Consider the following 23093-nt stretch of genomic DNA (forward strand, 5'->3'; position numbering starts at 1 on the left):
AGTTTTGATAAAAGTGCAAGGTGAGGCTGGGTATGGTGTCTCACGCCTGTAATCCCAGCACTTTGGGAGGCCGAGGCAGGTGGATCACCTGAGGTCAGGAGTTCAAGACCAGCCTGACCAACATGGAGAAACCCTGTCTCTACTAAAAATACAAAATTAGCCGGGTGTGGTGGCCCATGCCTGTAATCCCGGCTACTCGGGAGGCTGAGGCAGGAGAATCGCTTGAACCTGGGAGGCAGAGGTTGCAGTGAGCCGAGATTGTGCGATTGCACTCCAGCCTGGGCAACAAGAGTGAAACTCTGTCTCAAAAAAAAAAAAAAGTGCAAAGTGAATTCTGCATTCTCATGGCATGGGGACAGGAGAGCCCAGACTTGAGGCCAGTGAAGAGCTGGAAATGAGGATGAAAGCACGTGGCTGAGGCATGATTGTCTTGAGAGAAATCCTGGGGACAGAATTTAACACCTAAATGAAAGGGAGGGGCAGGGAAAGGAGGGAATTCAGAGTGATGACCAGGGTAGGGGCTCAATTCTGATGATGGACAATGCAGATTCTCTCTGTTGAGGTGGAGTGTGGGGGTGTTACTATCAGGAGACACACTGGTCCTGAAGCCAGTGACTGCTGAAACCCACCTTTGGTGAGGATATCTCTAGGAAGTGCAGCAAGGAAGCAGTGCAAAGCCTTTTGGAGTGAGAATAATTGGGACAGCTAGGCTGGCTATTCTAGCCTCACCTGAGAGAGATCAGTCTGCAGCCAGAGTACAGAGGGCCGACACTGGAGTTCTTGAACAAGGGACCAAGCTGTGGAAAAGGGACAGAGAGATGAGTAGGAGGGCTAAGGTCCCTGTGTGTGGGTGCAGAAATAAGGTGAGTGAGGCAGGGCCTAGTGGGTGAGGCTAGCTTCAGTGGGCGTGGCTGGCCTCAGTGGGTGAGTCTTGCATCTCTGGGGGCAAGGACGAAGTGGGTACATTCTTCTCCCATTACCCTGGCTTGGATGTTGTAGGAGGGACTGAGTATCTTGGTCAGGGCAGAGTGAGGAGGGCAGGGCACTAACCAGACCCTGCAGGACCCTCTCTGTGGTGTTGAACTTCCTGGAGCCAGGGTGACGCATGTCCTCCCCATACTGCAGATTGGTGATGGTAAAGTTGAGGGTGAACGGCACCAGGAGAGGAACAGCTGCTGTAGTGGGAGGGGGAAATAAACACTATGTTCAAAGGAGAGAAAATAGGAGTTTGCAATATAGTTATCTTTAAATATAGGCAGTATTTAATTGACTGACAAAATAAATATTTACCATGCATCCCTTGCCTTCAATGACAGAATTTATTTTTTAAAGGATATTATATAAAATAGTAGTTAGATGCTGAGCATAGCTCTTGGTTCATATTCAGTGCTCAATATTCTCTGATGTTACCTGTTATCTTTATTATTGCCATCATCATCATTGCTATCATTGTCACAATCACAATCTTTATTATCACCACCATCATAATAATCCCCACCATGACCACCACAAGCATCATCATCACCACACTCAACACATCACTATTATCATCATAACCCCATGACCATCTCTGGCATCATCCTCACCACCATCACCAGTTATTGTCATCAACATCACCAGTTTCATCATCATCATCATAAATAGCACCACCACCACCACCATCATCATCACTAACATCATAACCGTCACTGACATCATCTTCATATCCATCATCATCATGGTCGGCAACATCAACACCATTATCATCAACAGCATCACTATCATCATCATCATCATCATCATCAACAGCACCACCACCATCATCAACAGCATTACCATCATGATCATTACCATGATCATGATCATCATCATCATCAACAACTAGCACCACCACCACTATCATCATCACATGAATAAAAAAGCTCACTGAGGGCAGAGACATTTTTATTGGTTTTGTTTTCCTTGCTGTATCCCTTGGGTCTGGTACACAGTAGGTGGCCAACAAATATTTTTGGTTCACTCACTATTACCAGATTTACTATAATTTTACATCTTTATTTGAGTGAAAATGGCAGAGATGTTCACACTCATCAGGCATGCTGTAATAGAGATGTCATTGACTGGTACTTACTTGTGGGGCTGGGGAGGGAGGATGGAGTCCCTGAGGTCCCAAGGTCCACTGTGGAGGTCCCAGGAGCTGAGGAAAAGTCCTCATCAGTGAAAGCAGAAGCACTCTCATGGCAGAAATGGCCAAACAGGGGACTATTATGAGGTCTGCTGCATGTGGGCATGAGCTGGGCCTGTCTTTGGAGCTGGGGTGGAAGGGAGCTTCAATAACTTCAGCCTTCCCAGCTCCTTTGCTCATGAGGAGGACTTATGGGTTTATGAGGAGGGGCAGCTTCTGCTGTGCTTGGTGTAGGATCAGGGGCATGTGGACTTGAGTTGAATACTCACTGCTGGTGGGGGCCACAGAGCTCCGATGGGTGAAACCTGCATAGAGAAGGAGGGAGAAAATTGTGTAAGGATTAAGGAGATGTGGGGGATGCAATAGGGGTCATGGCTATCCTGGTGCCATGGGACAGGGACCATTAAAAGTTTCCTATCGGCATCCTCACAACAGAGAAGAATGCCCTGAGGGAATGCAGTTCACGATGACGAAGAAACCATGAAGTCCAGAACTTAGTCATCCCATGTAGAGCACATAACAGAATTTTCAATGGCCAGGCAGAGAGTATGCCCCCAAGCCAGAGATTAGAGTCTGCTCAGCAGGGAGGAAGAGACTCCAACCACATCACATCTGTTCACCATTGACATAGAGACTGTTCCTGTCCAGGGTGTAGGGGCCCAGCTCTTTGATGCCATGGGTCAGCTGGCTCAGCTCCCAGTACAGCTGCTCTCTGTTGAGTCCAGGGCTTTTGGGGTCAAGACGGTGGCTGCAGATGGCATCCATTCCAGTGGCTGCCCCATTCTTCTCAGGCCTGGGGAAGGAAGGTGGGAGGAATGCAATCAAAAGATTAACTAGGAAGGGTTTTGAGATTGCTGAGGGAAGGACTGCAAGGAACCAGAGGAAATGAGAAGTCTGGGAAAGAGGTGAGAAATCACACTTAGATTCTCTGAATGCACCGACTACTGGCTTGCTTTGAACTGCAAGCAGGGTAATGAATACAAGAATTTTTATGAAAGTGCAAAGTGGCTTGGCACAGTGCCTCATGTCTGTAATCCCAGCACTTTGGGAGGCCAAGGCGGGCAGATCACTTGAGGTCAGGAGTTCAAGACTAGCCTGGTCAACATGGTGAAACCCAGTCTCTACAAAAAATACAAAAATTTGCTGAGTATAGTGGTGGGTGCCTGTAATCCCAGCTACTTGGGAGGCTGAGGCAGGAGAATCACTTGAACATGGAAGGCGGAGGTTGCACTGAGCTGAGACCAGCCTGGTGTGCAGTAAGACTATGTTTCAACAATGAAATAATAAAATAAAATAAAATAAAATAAAATAAAATAAAATAAAATAAAATAAAATAAAATAAAATAAAATAAAAAAGTGCAAGTTAAAACCTGCATTCTCATGGCATGGGGACAGAGACACCAGACGTGAGACCAATGAAGAGCTGGAAATGGGCATGAAAGCCTGTGGATGAGGCACGATCATCTTGAGAGAAATCCTGGGGACAGAATTTAAGACCTAAAGGAAAGGGAGGTGCAGGGACAGGAGGGAATTCAGAGGGATGATCAGGGTAGAGGCTCAATCCTGATGATGGGCCATTCAGATTCTCCCTGTTGAGGTGGGGTTTGGGGGTGTTACTATCAGAAAACACATTGGTCATGAAGCCAGTGACTCCTGAATTCCACCTTTGGTGAGGATATCCCTAGGAAGTGCAGCAAGGAAGCAGTGCAAAGTCGATTGGAGTGAGAACAAGTGGGGCAGCCAAGCTTGATCTTCTAAGGTCTCACCTGAGCAAGGTCAGTCTGCAGCCAGAGTACAGAAGGCCGACACTGGTGTTCTTGAACATGGGACCAAGCTGTGGAGGAGGGAGAAGGAGATGAGTAGGAGGGCTAAGTTGCGTGTGTGGGTGTGTAGGGCAGAAGTCAGGTGGGCAGAACAGGCATCAGTGAGTGGGGCTGGTTTCAATGGGCATGGCTTGCATCTCTTGGGGCAAGGGTGAGGTGGGTATGATCTTGTTCCATCACCTGGCATGGATGATGTAGGAGGTACTGACTCTCTGGGGTGGGGCGGAGTGAGGAGGGTGGAGCACTAACCAGACCCTGCAGGACCCGCTCCGTGGTGTTGAACTTCCTGGAGCCTGGGTGATGCATGTCCTCCTCGTACTGCAGGTTGGTGATGGTGAAGTTGAGGGTGAATGGCACCAGGAGAGGGCCAGCAGCTGTAGTGGAGGTGGGAAACAAACACTATGTCCAAAGTAGAGAAAATAGGAGTTTGCAATAGACTTATCTTTAAACATATGCAGAATTTAAATTGAGTGACAAAATATTTACCATGCTTCCCTTGCCTAAAACAATACAATTTATTTTTACAAAAATATATTATATAATAGTATTTAGATGCTGAGCACTCCTCGTGGTGCATATTCAGAGCTCAATATTGTCTGATGTTATGTACTATCTTTATTGCCATCATCATCCTTGCTATCATTGTCACCATCACCATCATTATTATGACCATCACTGCCATAGTAATGCCCATCACGACCACCACGAACATTATCATCACCACATTCAACACATCATCATCATCATAACCCCACACCATCACTGGCATTATCCTCATCACCATCATTGTCATTGTCATCAACATAACCACGACCAACATCAATATCATCGGTACCACGGTCAGCATCCTAAACAGCATCACCACAGTCATCATCATCATCACACTTAACACATCATCATTATCATCATAATCTTCACGACCATCACGGACAATATCCTCAAGTCCATCACCATCATCATCAGTAATATCACCACCGCCATCATCAACAGCATCACCATCATCAACAGCATCACCATCATCAACAGCATCACCATCATCAACAGCATCCCACTCAACATGTCATTATTACTATCATAACCACCATCACTATCATCGTCACATGAACACAAGCTCACTGAGGGCAGAGATGTTTTTATTGGTTTTATTTTCCTTGCTGTATCCCTAGGGTCTGGTACAATGTAGGTGGCCAATACATTTTTTTGGTTCACTCAGTATCACTAGATTTACTATGATTTTCCATCTTCATTTGAGTGAAAACGGCACAGATGTTCATATTCATCAGGCATGATCTAATAGACATGTCATTGACTGGTACTTACATGTAGGGCTGGGGAGGGAGGATGGAGTCCCTGAGGTCCCAAGGTCCACTGTGGAGGTCCCAGGAGCTGAAAAGAGTCCTCATCAGTGAAAGCAGAAAGCACTCTCATGGCAGAAATGGAAAGAGGGTAGACTATTATAAGGTCTGCTGCATGTGGGCTTGAGCTAGGACTGTCTTTGGAGTAGGGGCAGAGGGGAGCTTGAGTAACTTCTGCCTTCCTAGCTCCTTTGCTCAAGAGGAGTTCTTATGGGCTTAAGAGGAGGGGCCAGCTCCTGCTCCACTTAATATAGGATCAGGGGCATGTGGACATGAGTTGAATACTCACTGCTGGTGTTGGGCGCAGAGGTCTGATGGGTGAAACCTGCGTAGAGAAGGAGGGAGGAGACTGGGTAAGGGTTAAGGAGATGTGGGAGATGCAATAGGGTTCAGGGCTACCCTGGTGCAATTAAATGAGTTTCATGGGATGGGGCCATTAAGATTTCCTATCAGCATTCTCCCAAAAGGGAAGAGTGCCCCAAGGGAATGCAGTTCATGATGATGAAGAAACCATGAAGTCCAGAACTTAGTCACCCCATGTAGAGCACATGACAAAATTTTCAATGGCCAGGCAGGGAGTGTGCCCCCAAGCCAGAGATTAGAGGCTGCCCAGCAAGGAGGAAGAGATTCCTACCATATTGCAGCTCCTCACCATTGACATAGAGACTGTTTCTGTCCAGGGTGTAGGGACCCAGCTCTTTGATGCCATTGGTCAGCTGGCTCAGCTCCCAGTATAGCTGCTCCCTGTCCACTCCAGGGCTTTTGGGGTCAAGACGGTGGGTGCAGATGGCATCCACTCCAGTGGCTGCTCCATCCTTCTCGGACCTGAGGAAGGTAGGAGGGGGAATGACAATGAAAAGATTGCCTAGGACTTGTCTTGAGATTGCTGAGGGAAACATATCAAGGAACCAGAGGAAATGAGAAATCTGGGAAAGAGGTGAGAATCTGCACTTAGATTATCTGAGTACATAGACCACTATCTTGGTTGGGACTGCAAGCAGAGTCATGGATATAATAATTTTTATAAAAGTGCAAGGTGAAACCTGCATTCTCATGGCATGGGGACAGGAGAACCCAGACTTCAGACTAGTGAAGAGCTTGAAAGGGGGATGGATGTATGTGGATGAGGTATGATTGTCTTAAGAGCAGTCCTGGGGACAGAATTTAACACTAAATGAAAGGGAGGGGCAGGCAAAGGAGGGAATACAGAGGAGTGATCAGGGTAGTGCCTCAATCCTGATGATGGATCACGAAAATTCTGCCTGTTGAGGTGGGGAATGGTGGTGTTACTATCAGGAAACAACTGGTTCTCAAGCCAGTGACTCCTGAATTCCCTTTTTGGTGATGATATCCCTAGGAAGTGCAGCAAGGAGACAGTGCAAAGTCTTTTAAAGTGAGAACAATTGTGGCAGCCAAGCTGGCTCTTCTAAAGTCTCACCTGAGCAAGGTCAGTCTGCAGCCAGAGTACAGAGGGCCAACACTGGTGTTCTTGAACATGGGACCAAGCTGTGGAGGAGGGAGAGAGAGGTGAGTAGGAGGGCTAAGGAGTGTGTGTGTTAGGGGCAGATGTGAGGTGGGAGGAGTAGGCACCAATGAGCAGGGCTGGTCTCTGTGGGCGGGACTTCCATCTCTCAGGGGCAGGGGTGAGGTTGGTGCTATCTTCTTTCATCACCTTGGCATCTATGATGTAGAAGGGACTGGATATCTGGGGCTGGCAGAGTGAGGAGGGAAGGGCACTAACCAGACTCTGCAGGACTCTCTCTGTGGTGTTGAACTTCCTGGAGCCAGGGCAATGCATGTCCTCCTCGTACTTCAGGTTGGTGATGGTGAAGTTGAGGGTGAACGGCACCAGGAGAGGGCCAGCAGCTGTAGTGGGAATTGAAAATAAACACTATGTTCAAAGTAGAGAAAATAGGGGTTTGGAATAGACTTATCTTTAAACATATACAAAATTTAAATTGAGAGAAAAATATTTATGTCTCCCTTGCCTATAATAATACAATTTATTTTTATAAAAATATATTATATAATAGTAGTTAGATGCTGAGCATAGCTAGTTGTGCATATTCAGTGCTCAATATTGTCTGATGTTATCTGTTATCTTTATTATGGCCATAATCATTGTTGCTATCATTGTCACCATCACCATCATTATTATCATCATCACCATGATAATCCCCATCATGATCACCACAAACATAATCATCACCACACTCAACACATCATCATTATCATAATAACCACATGACCATCACTGGCATCATCCTCATCACCATTATTGTTATTGTCATCAACGTCACCACTACCATCATCAACACCATCAGTACCATGGTCACCATCATCAACAGCACCACCACCATCATCATCATCATCACACTCAACACATCATTACCATCATAACCTTCACAACCATCACTGACAACATCCTCATGTCCGTCATCATCATTGTCAGTAACATCACCACCACCATCATCAACAGCAACACCATAATCATAAATTATCATCAAACTGAATATGTCATTATTACTATTACCACCACCACCACCATCATATCATCACATGAACACAAGCTCACTGAGGGCAGAGATGTTTTTATTGGTTCTATTTTCCTTGCTATATCCCTAGGGTCTGGTACACTGTAGGTGGCCAATACATTTTTTTTGGTTCACTCAGTATCACTAGATTTATTATGATTTTCCATTTTCATTTGACTGAAAATGGCACAGATGTTTGCATTCATCAGGCATGATCTAATACAGATACCATTGGCTGGTACTTACTTGTGGGGCTGGGGAGGGAGGATGGAGTCCCTGACCCAAGGTCCACTGTGGAGGTCCCAGGAGCTGAAAAAAGTCCTCATCAGTGAAAGCAGAAAGCACTCTCATGGCAGAAATGGCAAGAAGATAGACTATTATGAGGTCTGCTGCATGTGGGCTTGAGCTGGGTCTGTCTTTGGAGCTGGGGCAGAGGGGAGCTTGAGTAACTTCTGCCTTCCCAGCTCATTTGCTCAAGAGGAGGACTTATGGGTTAAAGAGGAGGGGCCAGCTCTTGCTCCACTTGATGTAGGATCAGGGGCATCTGGACATGAGTTGAATACTCACTGCTGCTGGTGGGCACAGGGATCCAATGGGTGAAACCTGCATAGAGAAGGAGGGAGGAGACTGGGTAAGGGTTAAGGAGATGTGGGGGACGCGATAGAGTTCAGGACTACCCTGGTGCAATTAAATGAGTTTCATGGGACAGGGGTCATTAAAGATTTCCTATCAGCATCCTCACAACAGGGAAGAGTGCCCAGAGGGAATGCCTCTCATGATAACAAAGAAACCATGAAGTCCAGAACTTAGTCATCCCATGTAGAGCACGTGACAGAATTTTCAATGGCCAGGCAGGGAGTGTGCCCCCAAGCCAGAGATTAGAGGTTGCACAGCCAGGAGGAAGAGACCCCTACCATATCACAGCTGCTCACCATTGACATAGAGACTGTTCCTGTCCAGGGTGTAGGGGCCCAGCTCTTTGATGCCATTGGTCAGCTGGCTCAGCTCCCAGTATAGCTGCTCCCTGTCCACTCCAGGGCTTTTGGGGTCAAGACGGTGGGTGCAGATGGCATCCACTCCAGTGGCTGCTCCATCCTTCTCGGACCTGAGGAAGGTAGGAGGGGGAATGACAATGAAAAGATTGCCTAGGACTTGTCTTGAGATTGCTGAGGGAAACATATCAAGGAACCAGAGGAAATGAGAAATCTGGGAAAGAGGTGAGAATCTGCACTTAGATTATCTGAGTACATAGACCACTATCTTGGTTGGGACTGCAAGCAGAGTCATGGATATAATAATTTTTATAAAAGTGCAAGGTGAAACCTGCATTCTCATGGCATGGGAACAGGAGAACCCAGACTTCAGACTAGTGATGAGCTTGAAAGGCGGATGCATGTATGTGGATGAGGCATGGTTATCTTGAGAGAAATCCTGGGGACAGAATTTAACACCTAAATGAAAGGGAGGGGCAGGGAAAGGAGGGAATTCAGATGGGTAATCAGGGTAGTGTCTCAATCCTGATGATGAACCATGAAGATTTTGCATGTTGAGTTGGGGCATGGGGGTGTTACTATCAGGAAACAACTGGTTCTCAAGCCAATGACTCCTGAATTCCCCTTTTGGTGAAGATATACCTAGGAAGTGCAGCAAGGAAGCAGTGCAAAGTCTTTTAGAGTGGGAACAAGTTGGGCACCCAGGCTGGCTCTTCTAAAGTCTCACCTGAGCAAGGTCAGTCTGCAGCCAGAGTACAGAAGGCCAACACTGGTGTTCTTGAACATAGGACCAAGCTGTAGAGGAGGGAGAGGGAGGTGAGTAGTGGGGCTAAGGTGTGTGTGTGTCGGGGCAGATGTGAGGTGGGTGGAGCAGGCACCAATAAGCAGGACTGGTCTCTGTGGGTGGGGCTTGCATCTCTTGGGGGGAAGGGGGGAAGTTGTTGCTATCTTCTTTCATCACCCTGGCATGGATGATGTAGAAGGGACTGGATATCTGGGGCTGGGCAGAGTGAGGAGGGAAGGGCACTAACCAGAGTCTGCAGGACCCTCTCAGTGGTGTTGAACTTCCTGGAGCCAGGGCGATGCATGTCCTCCTCATACTTCAGGTTGGTGATGGTGAAGTTGAGGGTGAACAGCACCAGGAGAGGGCCAGCAGCTGTAGTGGGAATTGAAAATAAACACTATGTTCAAAGTCAAGAAATAGGGGTTTAGAATAGACTTATCTTTAAACATGTGCAAAATTTAAATTGAGAAACAAAATATTTACCATGTCTCCCTTGCCTATAATAATACAATTTATTTTTATGAAAGTATGTTATATAATAGTAGTTAGATGCTGAGCATAGCTAATCATGCATATTCAGTGCTCAATATTGTCTGATGTTATCTGTTATATTTATGATGACTGGCCATCATGATTGTTGCTATCACTTTCACCATCATAAACAGCAACATCATCATCATCATCACACTCCACACACCATCATTACCATCATAACCTTCACAGCCATCACTGACAACATCCTTATGTCCATCATCATCATTGCCAGTAACATCACCACCATCATCATCAACAGCATCACCATCATCATCAATCATCATCACACTCAACATGTCATTATTACTATCATAACCACCACCACCATCATCACATGAACACAAGCTCACTGAGGGCAGAGGTGCTTTTATTAGTTTTCTTTTCCTTGTATCTCTAAGGTCTGGTACACTGTAAGTGGCCAATAAATTTTTTTGGTTCACTCAGTATCACTAGATTTACTATGATTTTCTATTTTCATTTGAGTGAAAATGGCACAGATGTTCACACTCATCAGGCATAATCTAAGGGAGATGCCATTGACTAGTACTTACTTGCGGGGCTTGGGAGGGAGAATGGAGTCCCTGAGGTTCCAAGGTCCACTGTGGAGGTCCCAGGAGCTGAGAAAAAGTGCTCATCAGTGAAAGCAGAAAATAATCTCATGGCAGAAATGGCAAGAAGGTAGACTATTATGAGGTCTGCTGCATATGGGCATGAGCTGGGCCTGTCTTTGGAGCTAGGGTGGAAGGGAGCTTCAATAACTTCTGCCTTCCCAGCTCCTTTGCTCAAGAGGAGGACTTATGGGTTTAAGAGGAGGGGCCAGCTCCTGCTCCACTTAATGTAGGATCAGGGGCATGTGGACATGAGTTGAATACTCACTGCTGCTGGTGGGCACAGAGGTCCGATGGGTGAAACCTGCATAGAGAAGGAGGGAGGAGACTTGGTAAGCGTTAAGGAGATATGAGGGACACAATAAGGGTCATGGCAATCCCAATGCAATTAAATGAGTTTCATGGGACAATGAGTTTCATGGGACTGGGGCCATTAAAGAATTCCTATCAGTATCCTCACAACAGGGAAGAGTGCCCTGAGGGAACACAGTTCACGACAATGAAGAAACTGTGAAGTCCAGAACTTTGTCATCCCATCTACACCACATGACAGAATATTCAATGGCCAGGCAGGGAGTGTGACTTCAAGCCACAGATTAGATTCTTTCCAGACTCTAGAAGGAAAAGACTCCAACCACATCACAGCTGCTCACCATTGACATAGAGACTGTTCCTGTCCAGGGTGTAGGGGCCCAGCTCTTTGATGCCATTGGTCAGTTGGCTCAGCTCCCAGTACAGCCGCTCTCTGTTGAGTCCAGGGCTTTTGGGGTCAAGATGATGGATGCAGATGGCATCCACTCCAGTGGCTGCTCCATCCTTCTCAGACCTGGGGAAGGTAGGTGGGGAGAATGACTATGAAAAGATTACTTAGGTTGTGTCCTGAGACTGCTGATGGAAAGACAGTAAAGAACCAGAGGAAATGAGAAACCTGGGAAAGAGGTGAGAAGCTACACTTAGATTCTCTGAGTGCATGGACTACTGGCTTGCTTGGGACTGTGCACAGAGTCACAGATACAACCATGCTTATAAAAGTGCAAGGTGAAACCTGCATTCTCATAGCATGGGGACAGGAGAGCCCAGACTTGAGACCAGTGAAGAGCTAGAAACAGGGATGAAAGCACTTGGATGAGGCATGATTGTCTTGAGAGAAATTCTGGGGACAGAATTTAACACCTAAATGAAAGGGAGGGGCAGGGAATTCCGAGGGATGATCAGGATAGAGGCTCAATCCTGATGATGGACCATGCAGATTCTCCCTGTTGAGGTGAGGTGTGGGAGTGTTACTATCAGGAAACACATTGGTCCAGAAGCCAGTGACTCCTGAATTCCCCTTTGGGTGAGGATATCCCTAGGAGGTGCAGCAAGGAAGCAGAGCAAAATCTACTGGAGTGGGAACAACTGGGGCAGCCAGGCTGGATCTTCTAAGGTCTCACCTGAGAGAGGTCAGTCTGCAGCCAGAGTACAGAGGGCCAACACTGGTGTTCTTGAATATGGGACCAAGCTGTGGAGGAGCGAGAGGAAAGTGAGTAGGAGGGCTAAGGTGCATGTGTGTGGGGCAGAAGTCAGGTGGGTGGAGCAGGCACCAGTGGGCATGGCTGGCCTCAGTGAGCAGGGCTTGCATCTTTTGTGGGCAAGGGTGAGATGGATACAATCTTCTTCCATAGCCCTGGCATAGATGATGTATCTGGGATGGGGCAGGAGTAAAGTGGGTGGGGCTCTCACCAGACCCTGCAGGACCCTCTCTGTGGTGTTGAACTTCCTGGAGCCAGGGTGACCCATGTCCTCCCCATACTGCAGGTTGGTGATGGTGAAGTTGAGGGTGAATGGTACCAGGAGAGGGCCAGCAGCCATAACTGGAATGGGAAATAAACACTATGTTCAAAGCAGAGAAAATAGGAGTTTGCAATAGACTTATCTTTCAATATATGCAGAATTTAAATTGAGTGACAAAATATTTTCCATGCCTCCCTTGCCTATAATAATATAATTTATTTTTGTAAAAGTATATTATATAATAGTAGATGCTGAGCATAGCTGTTGGTGAATATTTATTGCTCAATACTGTCTGACATTTTCTGTTAACTTTATTATCATCATCATCACCATCACCATCATTGTCACGTCACCATCATTATTATCATCATCACCACCATGATAATCCCCATCATGACCACCACAAACATCATCACTCTCAACACATCATCATTACCATCATAACCCCACCACCATCACTTGAATCATCCTTATCACCATCATCATCATTGTCATCGACATCACCACCACCATCAACATCAACATCAACACTATCATTATCATGATCATTATAAACAGCAACACTACCACCATCATCATCACCATCACACTCAATACGACATCATTACCATCACAACCTCCACCACCATCACCTGCATCATCCTCATCACCATCATCATTGTCATCATCACCACCACCATCATCAAGATCACCACTATCATCATTATAAACAGCAACACTATCACTATTATCATCACACTCAATACATCATAATTACCATCATAACCTCCTCTAACATCACCAGCATCATCCTCATCACCATCACCATCATCATCAACATCACTACTGCCATCATCAACAGTATGACCATCATCATCATCATCATCATAAACAATGTCACCACCACCATCATCATCATCCCACTCAACACATCATCATTACCATTGTAACTACCACCACCATCATCATCATCACAAGAATACAAGCTCACTGAGGGCACAGATTTTTTTTAAATTGATTTTCTTTTTCTTACTGTATTCCTGGGGTCTGGTACACAGTAGGTGGCCAAAACAAATTTGTCACAAGCATTCTTATACACCAATAATAGACAAACACAGAGCCAAATCATAAGTGAACTCCCATTCATAATTGCTTCAAAGAGAATAAAATACCTAGGAATGCAACTTACAAGGGACGTGAAGGACCTCTTCAAGGAGAACTACAAACCACTGCTCAATGAAATAAAAGAGGATACAAACAAATGGAAAAACATTCCATGCTCATGGGTAGGAAGAATCAATATCGGGAAAATGGCCATACTGCCCAGGGTAATTTATAGATTCAATGCCATCCCCATCAAGATACCGATGACTTTCTTCACAAAATTGGAAAAAACTACTTTAAAGTTCACATGGAACCAAAAAAGAGCCCGCATCGCCAAGTCAATCCTAAGCCAAAAGAACAAAGCTGGAGGCATCATGCTACCTGACTTCAAACTATACTACAAGGCTACAGCAACCAAAACAGCATGGTACTGGTACCAAAACAGAGATATAGATCAATGGAACAGAACAGAGCCCTCAGAAATAACGCCACATATCTACAACTATCTGATCTTTGACAAATCTGAGCAATGGGGAAAGGATTCCCTATTTAATAAATGGTGCTGGGAAAACTGGCTAGCCATATGTAGAAAGCTGAAACTGGATCCCTTCCTTACACCTTATACAAAAATTAATTCAAGATGGATTAAAGACTTAAACGTTAGACCTAAAACCATAAAAACCCTAGAAGAAAACCTAGGCATTACCATTTAGGACATAGGCATGAGCAAGGACTTCATGTCTAAAACACCAAAAACAATGGCAACAAAAGCCAAAATTGACAAATGGGATCTAATTAAACTAAAGAGCTTCTGCACAGCAAAAGAAACTACCATTGGAGTGAACAGGCAACCTATAAAATGGGAGAAAATTTTCACAACCTACTCATCTGACAAAGGGCTAATATCCAGAATCTACAATGAACTCAAACACATTTACAAGGAAAAAGCAAACAACCCCAACAAAAAGTGGGAGAAGGACATGAACAGACACTTCTCAAAAGAAGACATTTATGCAGCCAAAAAACACATGAAAAAATGCTCACCATCACTGGCTATCAGAGAAATGCAAATCAAAACCACAATGAGATACCATCTCACACCAGTTAGAATGGCAATCATTAAAAAGTCAGGAAACAACAGGTGCTGGAGAGGATGTGGAGAAATAGGAACACTTTTACACTGTTGGTGGGACTGTAAACTAGTTCAACCATTGTGGAAGTCAGTGTGGCGATTCCTCAGGGATCTAGAACTAGAAATACCATTTGACCCAGCCATCCCATTACTGGGTATATACCCAAAGGATTATAAATCATGCCGCTATAAAGACACATGCACACGTATGTTTATTGTGGCACTATTCACAATAGCAAAGACTTGGAACCAACCCAAATGTCCAACAATGATAGACTGGATTAAGAAAATGTGGCACATACACACCATGGAATACTATGCAGCCATAAAAAATGATGAGTTCATGTCTCTGTAGGGACATGGATGAAATTGGAAATCATCATTCTCAGTAAACTATCGCAAGGACAAAAAACCAAATACCGCATGTTCTCACTCATAGGTGGGAATTGAACAATGAGAACATGTGGACACAGGAAGGGGAACATCACACTCTGGGGACTGTTGCAGGGTGGGGGGAGGGGGGAGGGATAGCATTAGGACATATACTTAATGCTAAATGACGAGCAAATGGGTGCAGCACACCAGCATGGCACATGTATACATGTGTAACTAAACTGCACATTGTGCACATGTACCCTAAAACTTAAAGTATAATAAAAAAAGTGAAAAGGATGAGAAAAAACAAACAAACAAATTTGTCCACTCAGTATCACTAGATTTACTATGATTTTCCATCTTTATTTGAGTGAAAATGACAGAGATGTTTACACTAATCAGGTATGCTCTCATAGAGATGTCATTGACTGATACTTACTTGTGGGGCTGGAGAGGGAGGATGGAGTCCCTGAGGTTCTGAGATCCACTGTGGAGGTCCCAGGAGCTGAGGAAAAGTTCTCATCAGTGAAAGCATAAAGCACTCTCTTGGCAGAAATGGCAAGAGGGGAGACTATTTATGGGGTTTGTTGCATGTGTAGCTTGAGCTGGGTCGGTCTCTTGAGCTGGGCAGAGGGACACTTAAATAACTTCTGCCCTCCTAAATCCTTTGCTTATGAAGAGGACTTAATGGGTTTATGAGGAGGGGCCAGCTCCTGCTCCTCTTGGTGTAGGAACCGAGGCATGTGGATATGAGTTGAATACTCACTGCTGGTGGTGGACACAGAGCTCTGATGGGTGAAACCTGCATAGAGAAGGAGGGAGGAGAGTGGGTAAGAGACAAGGAGAGGTGGGGGACCAAATGGAGGTCAATGCTACCCTGGTGCAATGAACCGAGTTTCATGGTACAGGGACAATTGAAGATTTTCTATCAGCATCCTCACATCAGGAAAGAATGCCCTGAGGGAACACAGTCCATGATGGTAAGGAAACCATGAAGTCCAGACCTTAGTCATCCCATGTAGAGCACATGACAGAATTTTCAAAGGCCAGGCAGGGAGTGTGATCTCTAGTTAGAGATTAGAGGCTGCCCAGCAAGGGGGAAGAGATTTCAACCACATCACAGCCACTCACCATTGACATAGAGACTGTTCCTGTCCAGGGTGTAGGGGCCCAGCTCTTCAATGTCATTGGTCAGTTTGCTTAGCTCCCAGTACAGCTGCTCCCTGTTGAGTCCAGGGCTTTTGGGGTCAAGGCGGTGGGTGCAGATGGCATCCACTCCAGTGGCTGCCCCATCTTTCTCGGGCCTGGGGAGGGTCAGTGGGAAAAATCACAATGAAAAGTTTATCTAGGAAGGGTCTTGCGATTGCTGAGGGAAGGACAGCAAGGACCAGAGAAATGAGAAACCTGGGAAAGAGGTGAGAAGCCACATCGACTCTTAGTGCATGGACTATTGGCTTGCTGAGGACTGTGAGTGGAGTCACGGATACAGTGACAAGATGAAACTGACACTTTCATGGACGGGACGGGGAGCCGGACTTGAGCCCAGTGAAGAGCTCGAAATGAGGATGAAATCACGTGGATAAGGCATGATTGTCCTGAAAGAAATCCTGGGGACAGAATTTAACATGTAAAGGAAAGGGAGGCACAGGGAATGGAGGGAATTCAGAGGGATGATAAAGGGAGAGGCTCAATCCTGATGATGGGCCATGCAGATTCTCTCTGTTGAGGTGGAGTGTAGGGGTGTTACTGTCAGGAAACACACTGATCCTGAAGCCTGTGACTCCTGAATTCCACCTTTGGTGAGGATATCCCTAGGAAGTGCAGCAAGGAAGCAGTGCAAAGTCTTTTGGAGTGAGTACAAGTGGGGCAGCCAGGCTGGAAATTCTAAGTTCTCACCTGAGCAAGGTCAATCTGCAGCCAGAGTACAGAGGGCCAACACTGGTGTTCTTGAACAAGGGCTTGAGCTGTGGAGGAGGGAGAGGGCAGTGAGTAGGAGGGCTAAGTTTTATGTAAGAGCCAGGCAGAAGTGAGGTGGGCAGGGCTGGCCTTGGTGGGGGAGGCTTGCATCTCTCTCTTTTTTTCTTTTTTTTGTGAGATGGAGTTTCGCTTTTTTGCCTAGGCTGGAGTAAAGTGGCATGATCTTGACTCACTGCAACCTCTGCCTCCTTGATTCAAGTGATTCTCTTGCCTCACCCTCCCAAGTAGCTGGGATTACAGGCATGCACCACCATGCTTGGCTAATTTTTGTATTTTAGTAGGGATGAGGTTTCACTATGTTGGCCAGGCTGGTCACAAACTCCTGACCTCAGGTGATCCACCCGCCTTGGCCTCCCAAATGCTGGTATTACAGGCGTGAGCCACCGCTCCTGGCTGAGGCTTGCATCTCTTGGGGCAAAAGTGAGTTGGGTTTGATATTCTTCCATTGCCCTGGCATGGATGATGTAAGAGGGACTGGGTATCATGAGCAGGGCAGAGTGTGGAGGGCAGGACACTAACCAGACCCTGCAGGACACTCTCCATGGTGTTGAACTTCCTGGAGCCAGTGCGACGCATGTCCTCCTCGTACTGCAGGTTGGTGATGGTGAAGTTGAGGGTGAACGGCATCAGGAGAGGGCCAGCAGCTATAGTGGGAGTGTGAAATAAACATTATGTTCAAAGTAGAGAGAATAGCACTTTGTAATAACCATATGCAGCAATTAAATTGAGTGACATAATAAATATTTTCCACGCCTTTCTTATCTATGATACAATTCATTTTCTAAAGTAGATTATATAATAGTAGTTAGATACTGAGCATAGCTCTTGGTACATATTTAGTGCTCAATATTGTAAGGTGATATCTGTTATCTTTATTATCACCATCACCATCATCACTATCATTGTCATCATTATTATCATTATTGTCATCACAAGTACCACCAGCACCACCATGACAATCCCCATCATGAACCACAAATATCATCATCACCATCATCACATTCAACATATCATTACCATCATAACCCCACCACCATCACCGACATCATCCTCATCACCATCATTGTCACTGTCGTTGATATCACCATTACCATCATCAATGTCACTAGCATAATAATCATCATCATCATCAACACCACCACCATCATCGTCACACTCAACATATCATTATTACCATAATAACCCCCACCACCATCACCAGCATCATTTTCTTCAACATCATCATCATCATCATTGTCATCAACATCACTATCACCATCAACAGTATCACCAGCATCATCATCATCATCATCATCATCATCGTCATCAACAGCACCACCACCAACATCATCATCATGACAAGAATACAAGCTCACTGAGAGCAGAAATTTTGTATTGGTTTTGTTTTCCCTCCTGTATCTCTAGGATCTGGTACACACTAGGTGGCCAACAAATTTCGTTGGTCCACTCACTATCAGTAGATTTGCTATGATTTTCCATCTTCATCTGAGTAAAAATGACAGAGATAGCATGCTCTAATAGAGATGCCATTGACTGGTACTTACTCGTGGGGCTGGGGCTGGAGGATGGAGTCCCTGAGGTTCCCACATCCACTGTGGAGGTCCCAGGAGCTGAGGAGAAGTCCTCATTAGTGAGAGCAGAAAGCATTACCATGGCAGAAATGCCAAGAGGTGAGACTTTTATAGGGTTTGCTGCATGTGGGCTTGAGCTGAGTCTGTCTTTGAAACTGGGGCAGAGGGGAGCTTGAATAACTTCTGCCTTCCCAGCTACTTTGCTCAAGAGGAGGACTTATGGGTTTATGAGGAGGGGCAGCTCCTGCTTTGCTTGGTGTAGGATCATGGGCATGTGGACATGAGTTGAATACTCACTGCTGGTGGTGGGCATAGAGCTTCGATGGGTGAAACCTGCACAGAGAAGGAGGGAGGAGTGTGGGTAAGTTACAAGGAGATGTGGGGGACCAAATAGGGGTCAGGGCTACCCTGGTGCAATGGAAGCAGTTTCATGCAGCAGGGACCATTAAAGATTTCCTATCAGTGCCCTCACATCAGGGAAGAATGCCCTGATGGAATTCATTCCATGATGATGAAGAAACCATGAAGTCCTGGCCAGGTGTGGTGGCTCAAGCCTGTAATCCCAGTACTTTGGGAGGCCAAGGCAAGGTGGAGTAGAAGGTCAAGAGATTGAGACCATCCTGACCAACATGGTGAAACCCTGTCTCTACTAAAAATACAAAAATTAGCTGGGTGTGGTGGCATGCACCTGTAGTCCCAGCTACTCAGGAGGCTGAGGCAGGAGAATTGCTTGAATCCGGGAGGCGGAGGTTGCAGTGAGCTGAGATCATGCCACTGCACCTCAGCCTGGTGACAGAGCGAGACTCCATCTCAAAAAAAAAAAAAAAAAAAAAAAGATACCATGAAGTCCGGAAATTAGTCATCCCATGTAGAGCACAGGACCAAATTTTCAATTGCCTGACAGTGAGTGTGACCTCAAGCCAGTGATTACAGGCTGCTCAGCAAGGAGGAAGAGCCTCCAACCACATCACAGCTGCTCACCATTGACATAGAGACTGTTCCGGTCCAGGGTGTAGGGGCCCAGCTCCTGGATGCCATTTGTCAGATTGCTCAGCTCCCAGTACAGTCGCTCTCTGTCCAGTCCGAGGTCTTCAGGGTCAGGGCGATGTGTGCAGATGGCATCCACTGCCGTGGCTGAGCTATCCTTCTCTGGCCTGGGTAAGAACCTACATATGCTTAGTCCATCCACCTCTCCATCCTTTTGTCCTTCCTTTCCACTCTTTGTCAACCCCTAATGCAGACTCTGAGAAAATTGTGGTTAACAAGAATGTGGCTCTCAGGCTAGGCATGGTGGCTCATGCCTGTAATCCCAACACTTTGGGAGGCCAAGGCAGGTGGATCATGAGGTCAAGAGATTGAGACCATCCTGGCTAACATGGTGAAACCCCGTCTCAACTAAAAATACAAAAATTAGCTGGGCATGGTGGTACGTGCCTGCAGTCCCAGCTACTTGGGAGGCTGAGGCAGGAGAATTGCTTGAACCTAGGAGCCAAAGGTTACAGTGAGCCGAGATCGCGCCACTGCACTCCAGTCTGGGCAACAGAGTGAGACTCTATCTCAAAAAAAAAAAAAAAAAAAAAAAAGAATGTGGTTCTCATCAGAGAGATGCCCACCATAAACAAATTACTAGGATTATTAGTGGAAGCAGAAAGCATTACCATGGCAGAAATGCCAAGAGGTGACACTTTTATAGGGTTTGCTGCATGTAGGCTTGAGCTGTCTGTCTTTGGAACCGGGGCAGAGGGGAGCTTGAATAACTTCTGGCCTTCCCAGCTGCTTTGCTCAAGAGGAGGGCTTATGGGTTTATGAGGAGGGGCAGCTCCTGCTTTGCTTGGTGTAGGATCCTAGGATAATAATGCCAGGGATCTGCATGGCCCCGAATAAGCCTCCTGAAGTACTAGGTGTGCGACAGCTATACTTAGGGTTAATCTGTAATCCATGGCAGTGGCCCTTGTACTGGTGCACGTAGCAGTGGCCCTCCTACTGGTGCCCATGGCATGGCGTTTTCAAATGGTGGGATCAGAAGGTTCAAGTCATCCTCTCTAGATCCTATGGACCAGCAGGGCTAGGAGATTTGTTATGAGACTCAAGGGAGCTAAATGGCTTGGGGAAAATGCCCTTTTTGGCTGGTCCGTCTGAAACTGTGGCTGGTCCAACATGCAGTCAGAAGGTCTTCATGTCTCAGCACCTGTTCCCGGCCACAGGATGTGGACTCACCTACCTAGCCACCCACTATTGAGTGATTAGAGGGAAACGGGCTCTTTCCCTATGTCCCAGGGTTGTGAGTAGCTCTATAGTAGGAACGACTTTATAGTAACAACTACCATTTATTAAATACTTCCTATGCAGCAGGCCCAGCATTTTGTATTCATAATCACATATTTTCATCCTCAAACATCCCTATGGGTTGGTACTGCTCAATTCCCCAAGTCAGTACTATACTAATTATATTATGTATAACACAATTGTATATAACATAAAATATATAAAATGTAGATCTGTAAATATAAACTTAATATAGAAATATATGATATCGTTTTGCATTTTATACATTACTATATTATATAGTATATACAATATATATTATTATACCTCTACCTAACATATATTAAACTGGTTTATATATAACTATTTTATATAATTATATAACTCTATAACTATTATATAACTATTTTTTATATAACTACCATATACCTCTACTTAACATATATTAAACTGGTTTATATATAACTATTGTATATAACTATATAACTATTTTTATATAACTACCATGTACATTTAGATGCTTCTTGACTCATGATGGTATTATGTCCTGATAAACACAGGTTTTTTATTTTATTTTTTTGTTTTTGCTTTCTTTTGTTTTTGGAGATGGAGTCTCACTCTGTTGCCCAGGCTGGAGTTCAATGGTGTGATCTTGGCTCACTGCAACCTCTGCCTCCCAGGTTCAATCCATTCTCCTGCCTCAGCCTCCCGAGTAGCTGGGACTACAGGTACCCACCACCACATCCAGCTAATTTTTGTATTTTTAGTAGAGATGGGTTTTCTCCATGTTTGCCAAGCTGATCGTGAACTACTGACCTCAGGTGATAAACCTGCCTCAGCTTCCCAAACTGCTGGGATTACAGGCATGAGCCATGCACCCAGCCTGTTTTTTGTTTTTTGGAGACAAGAGTCTTGCTCTGTCATCCAGGCTGGAGTGCGGTGGTGTGATCTTGACTCACTGTAACTTCCATCTCCTAAGTTCAAGTGATTCTCACGCTTCAGTCTCCCGAGTAGCTGGAACTACAGTTGTCACACCACGCCTGGCTAATTTTTGTATTTTTAGTAGAGACAAGATTTTGCCATTTGGACAGCCTGGTCTCAAACTCCTGGCCTCAAGTGATCCACCTGCCTCAGCCTCCCAAAGTGCTGGGATGACAGGTGTGAGCCATCATGCCCAGCCCTGACAAATCCATTGTGAACTGAAAATGTCATAAGTCAAAAATGCCCTGTAGCCGGGCGTGATGGCTCACACCTGTAATCCCAGGATTTTGGGAGGCCAAGGTGGGAGGATTCCTTGAGCCCAGGAGTTCAAGGCCACCTGGGCAACATGGCAAGACCCTCCTCTCCACAAAAAAAAAAAAATTAAAAAAAAAATAGCCAGGTGTGGTGGCACACACCTGTAGTCCCAGCTACTCAGGAGGCTGAGGTAGGAGGATCACTTGAGCCCAGGAGTTCAAGGCTGCAGTGAGCTATGATCGCACCAGTGCATTCCAGTCTGGGTGACAGAGCAAGACTCTGTCTCAAAAATAAAAATAAAAATAAAAATCGACTATACCTAACCTACAGAACATGATAGGTTAGCCTATCCTACCTTAAACATGCTCTGAACCCTTACATTAGCCTACATGTGGGCAAAATCACCTAACACAAAGCCTATTTTATAATAAACTGTTGAATATCTCATATAATTTATTGAATATTGTACTGAAAGTGAATGACAGAATGGTTGCATGGGTGTTGAAGGTATGCTTTCTACTGAATGCATATTGCTATGGCATTATCACAAAGTTTGAAAAATCATAAGTTGAATCATTGTAATTCATGGACTGTTTATATATAGAATATATACTAGGTATATGTAGAAGTTGTATGTATCCACATGTATACTATATATAATATATATTTAAATATTACATGTATTTATACTTATATACTTTAATATATTATATATACACATTATATTATACATGATATACGTTATATGTAATATATATAATATGTCATATTATAACATATGTTATATGTTAATGTCAGATATGTTATATACATCACATACACATATATGTTATATACATTATATATAACATATAAGTTATACATATGTTATGTATGTATATATTACA

The 23093-nt window shown here is 45.1% G+C and overlaps 1 protein-coding gene across 4 annotated transcripts in view; it reads right to left on the reverse strand.

The window, feature by feature from the left end:
* MUC16 (mucin 16, cell surface associated) overlaps positions 1-23093 on the reverse strand; it is a gene marked incomplete in the record, with an annotated part of 216908 nt that overhangs the window by 49018 nt on the left and 144797 nt on the right. For all 4 annotated transcript variants that reach the window (NM_001414686.1, NM_001401501.2, NM_001414687.1 and 1 more), the window contains 30 exon segments: positions 730-797; positions 1051-1175; positions 2111-2176; positions 2434-2469; positions 2785-2957; positions 3931-3998; positions 4237-4361; positions 5308-5373; positions 5632-5667; positions 5995-6167; positions 6781-6848; positions 7084-7208; positions 8123-8185; positions 8444-8479; positions 8809-8981; positions 9596-9663; positions 9900-10024; positions 10738-10803; positions 11063-11098; positions 11448-11620; positions 12228-12295; positions 12517-12647; positions 15597-15662; positions 15924-15959; positions 16289-16461; positions 17054-17121; positions 17654-17778; positions 18679-18744; positions 19003-19038; positions 19687-19859. In NM_001414686.1, the coding sequence (NP_001401615.1) occupies positions 730-797; positions 1051-1175; positions 2111-2176; positions 2434-2469; positions 2785-2957; positions 3931-3998; positions 4237-4361; positions 5308-5373; positions 5632-5667; positions 5995-6167; positions 6781-6848; positions 7084-7208; positions 8123-8185; positions 8444-8479; positions 8809-8981; positions 9596-9663; positions 9900-10024; positions 10738-10803; positions 11063-11098; positions 11448-11620; positions 12228-12295; positions 12517-12647; positions 15597-15662; positions 15924-15959; positions 16289-16461; positions 17054-17121; positions 17654-17778; positions 18679-18744; positions 19003-19038; positions 19687-19859 (2811 nt within the window).

Source organism: Homo sapiens, chromosome 19, assembly GCF_000001405.40.
Source record: "Homo sapiens chromosome 19, GRCh38.p14 Primary Assembly".
NCBI classification, from domain to species: Eukaryota; Metazoa; Chordata; class Mammalia; order Primates; family Hominidae; genus Homo; species Homo sapiens.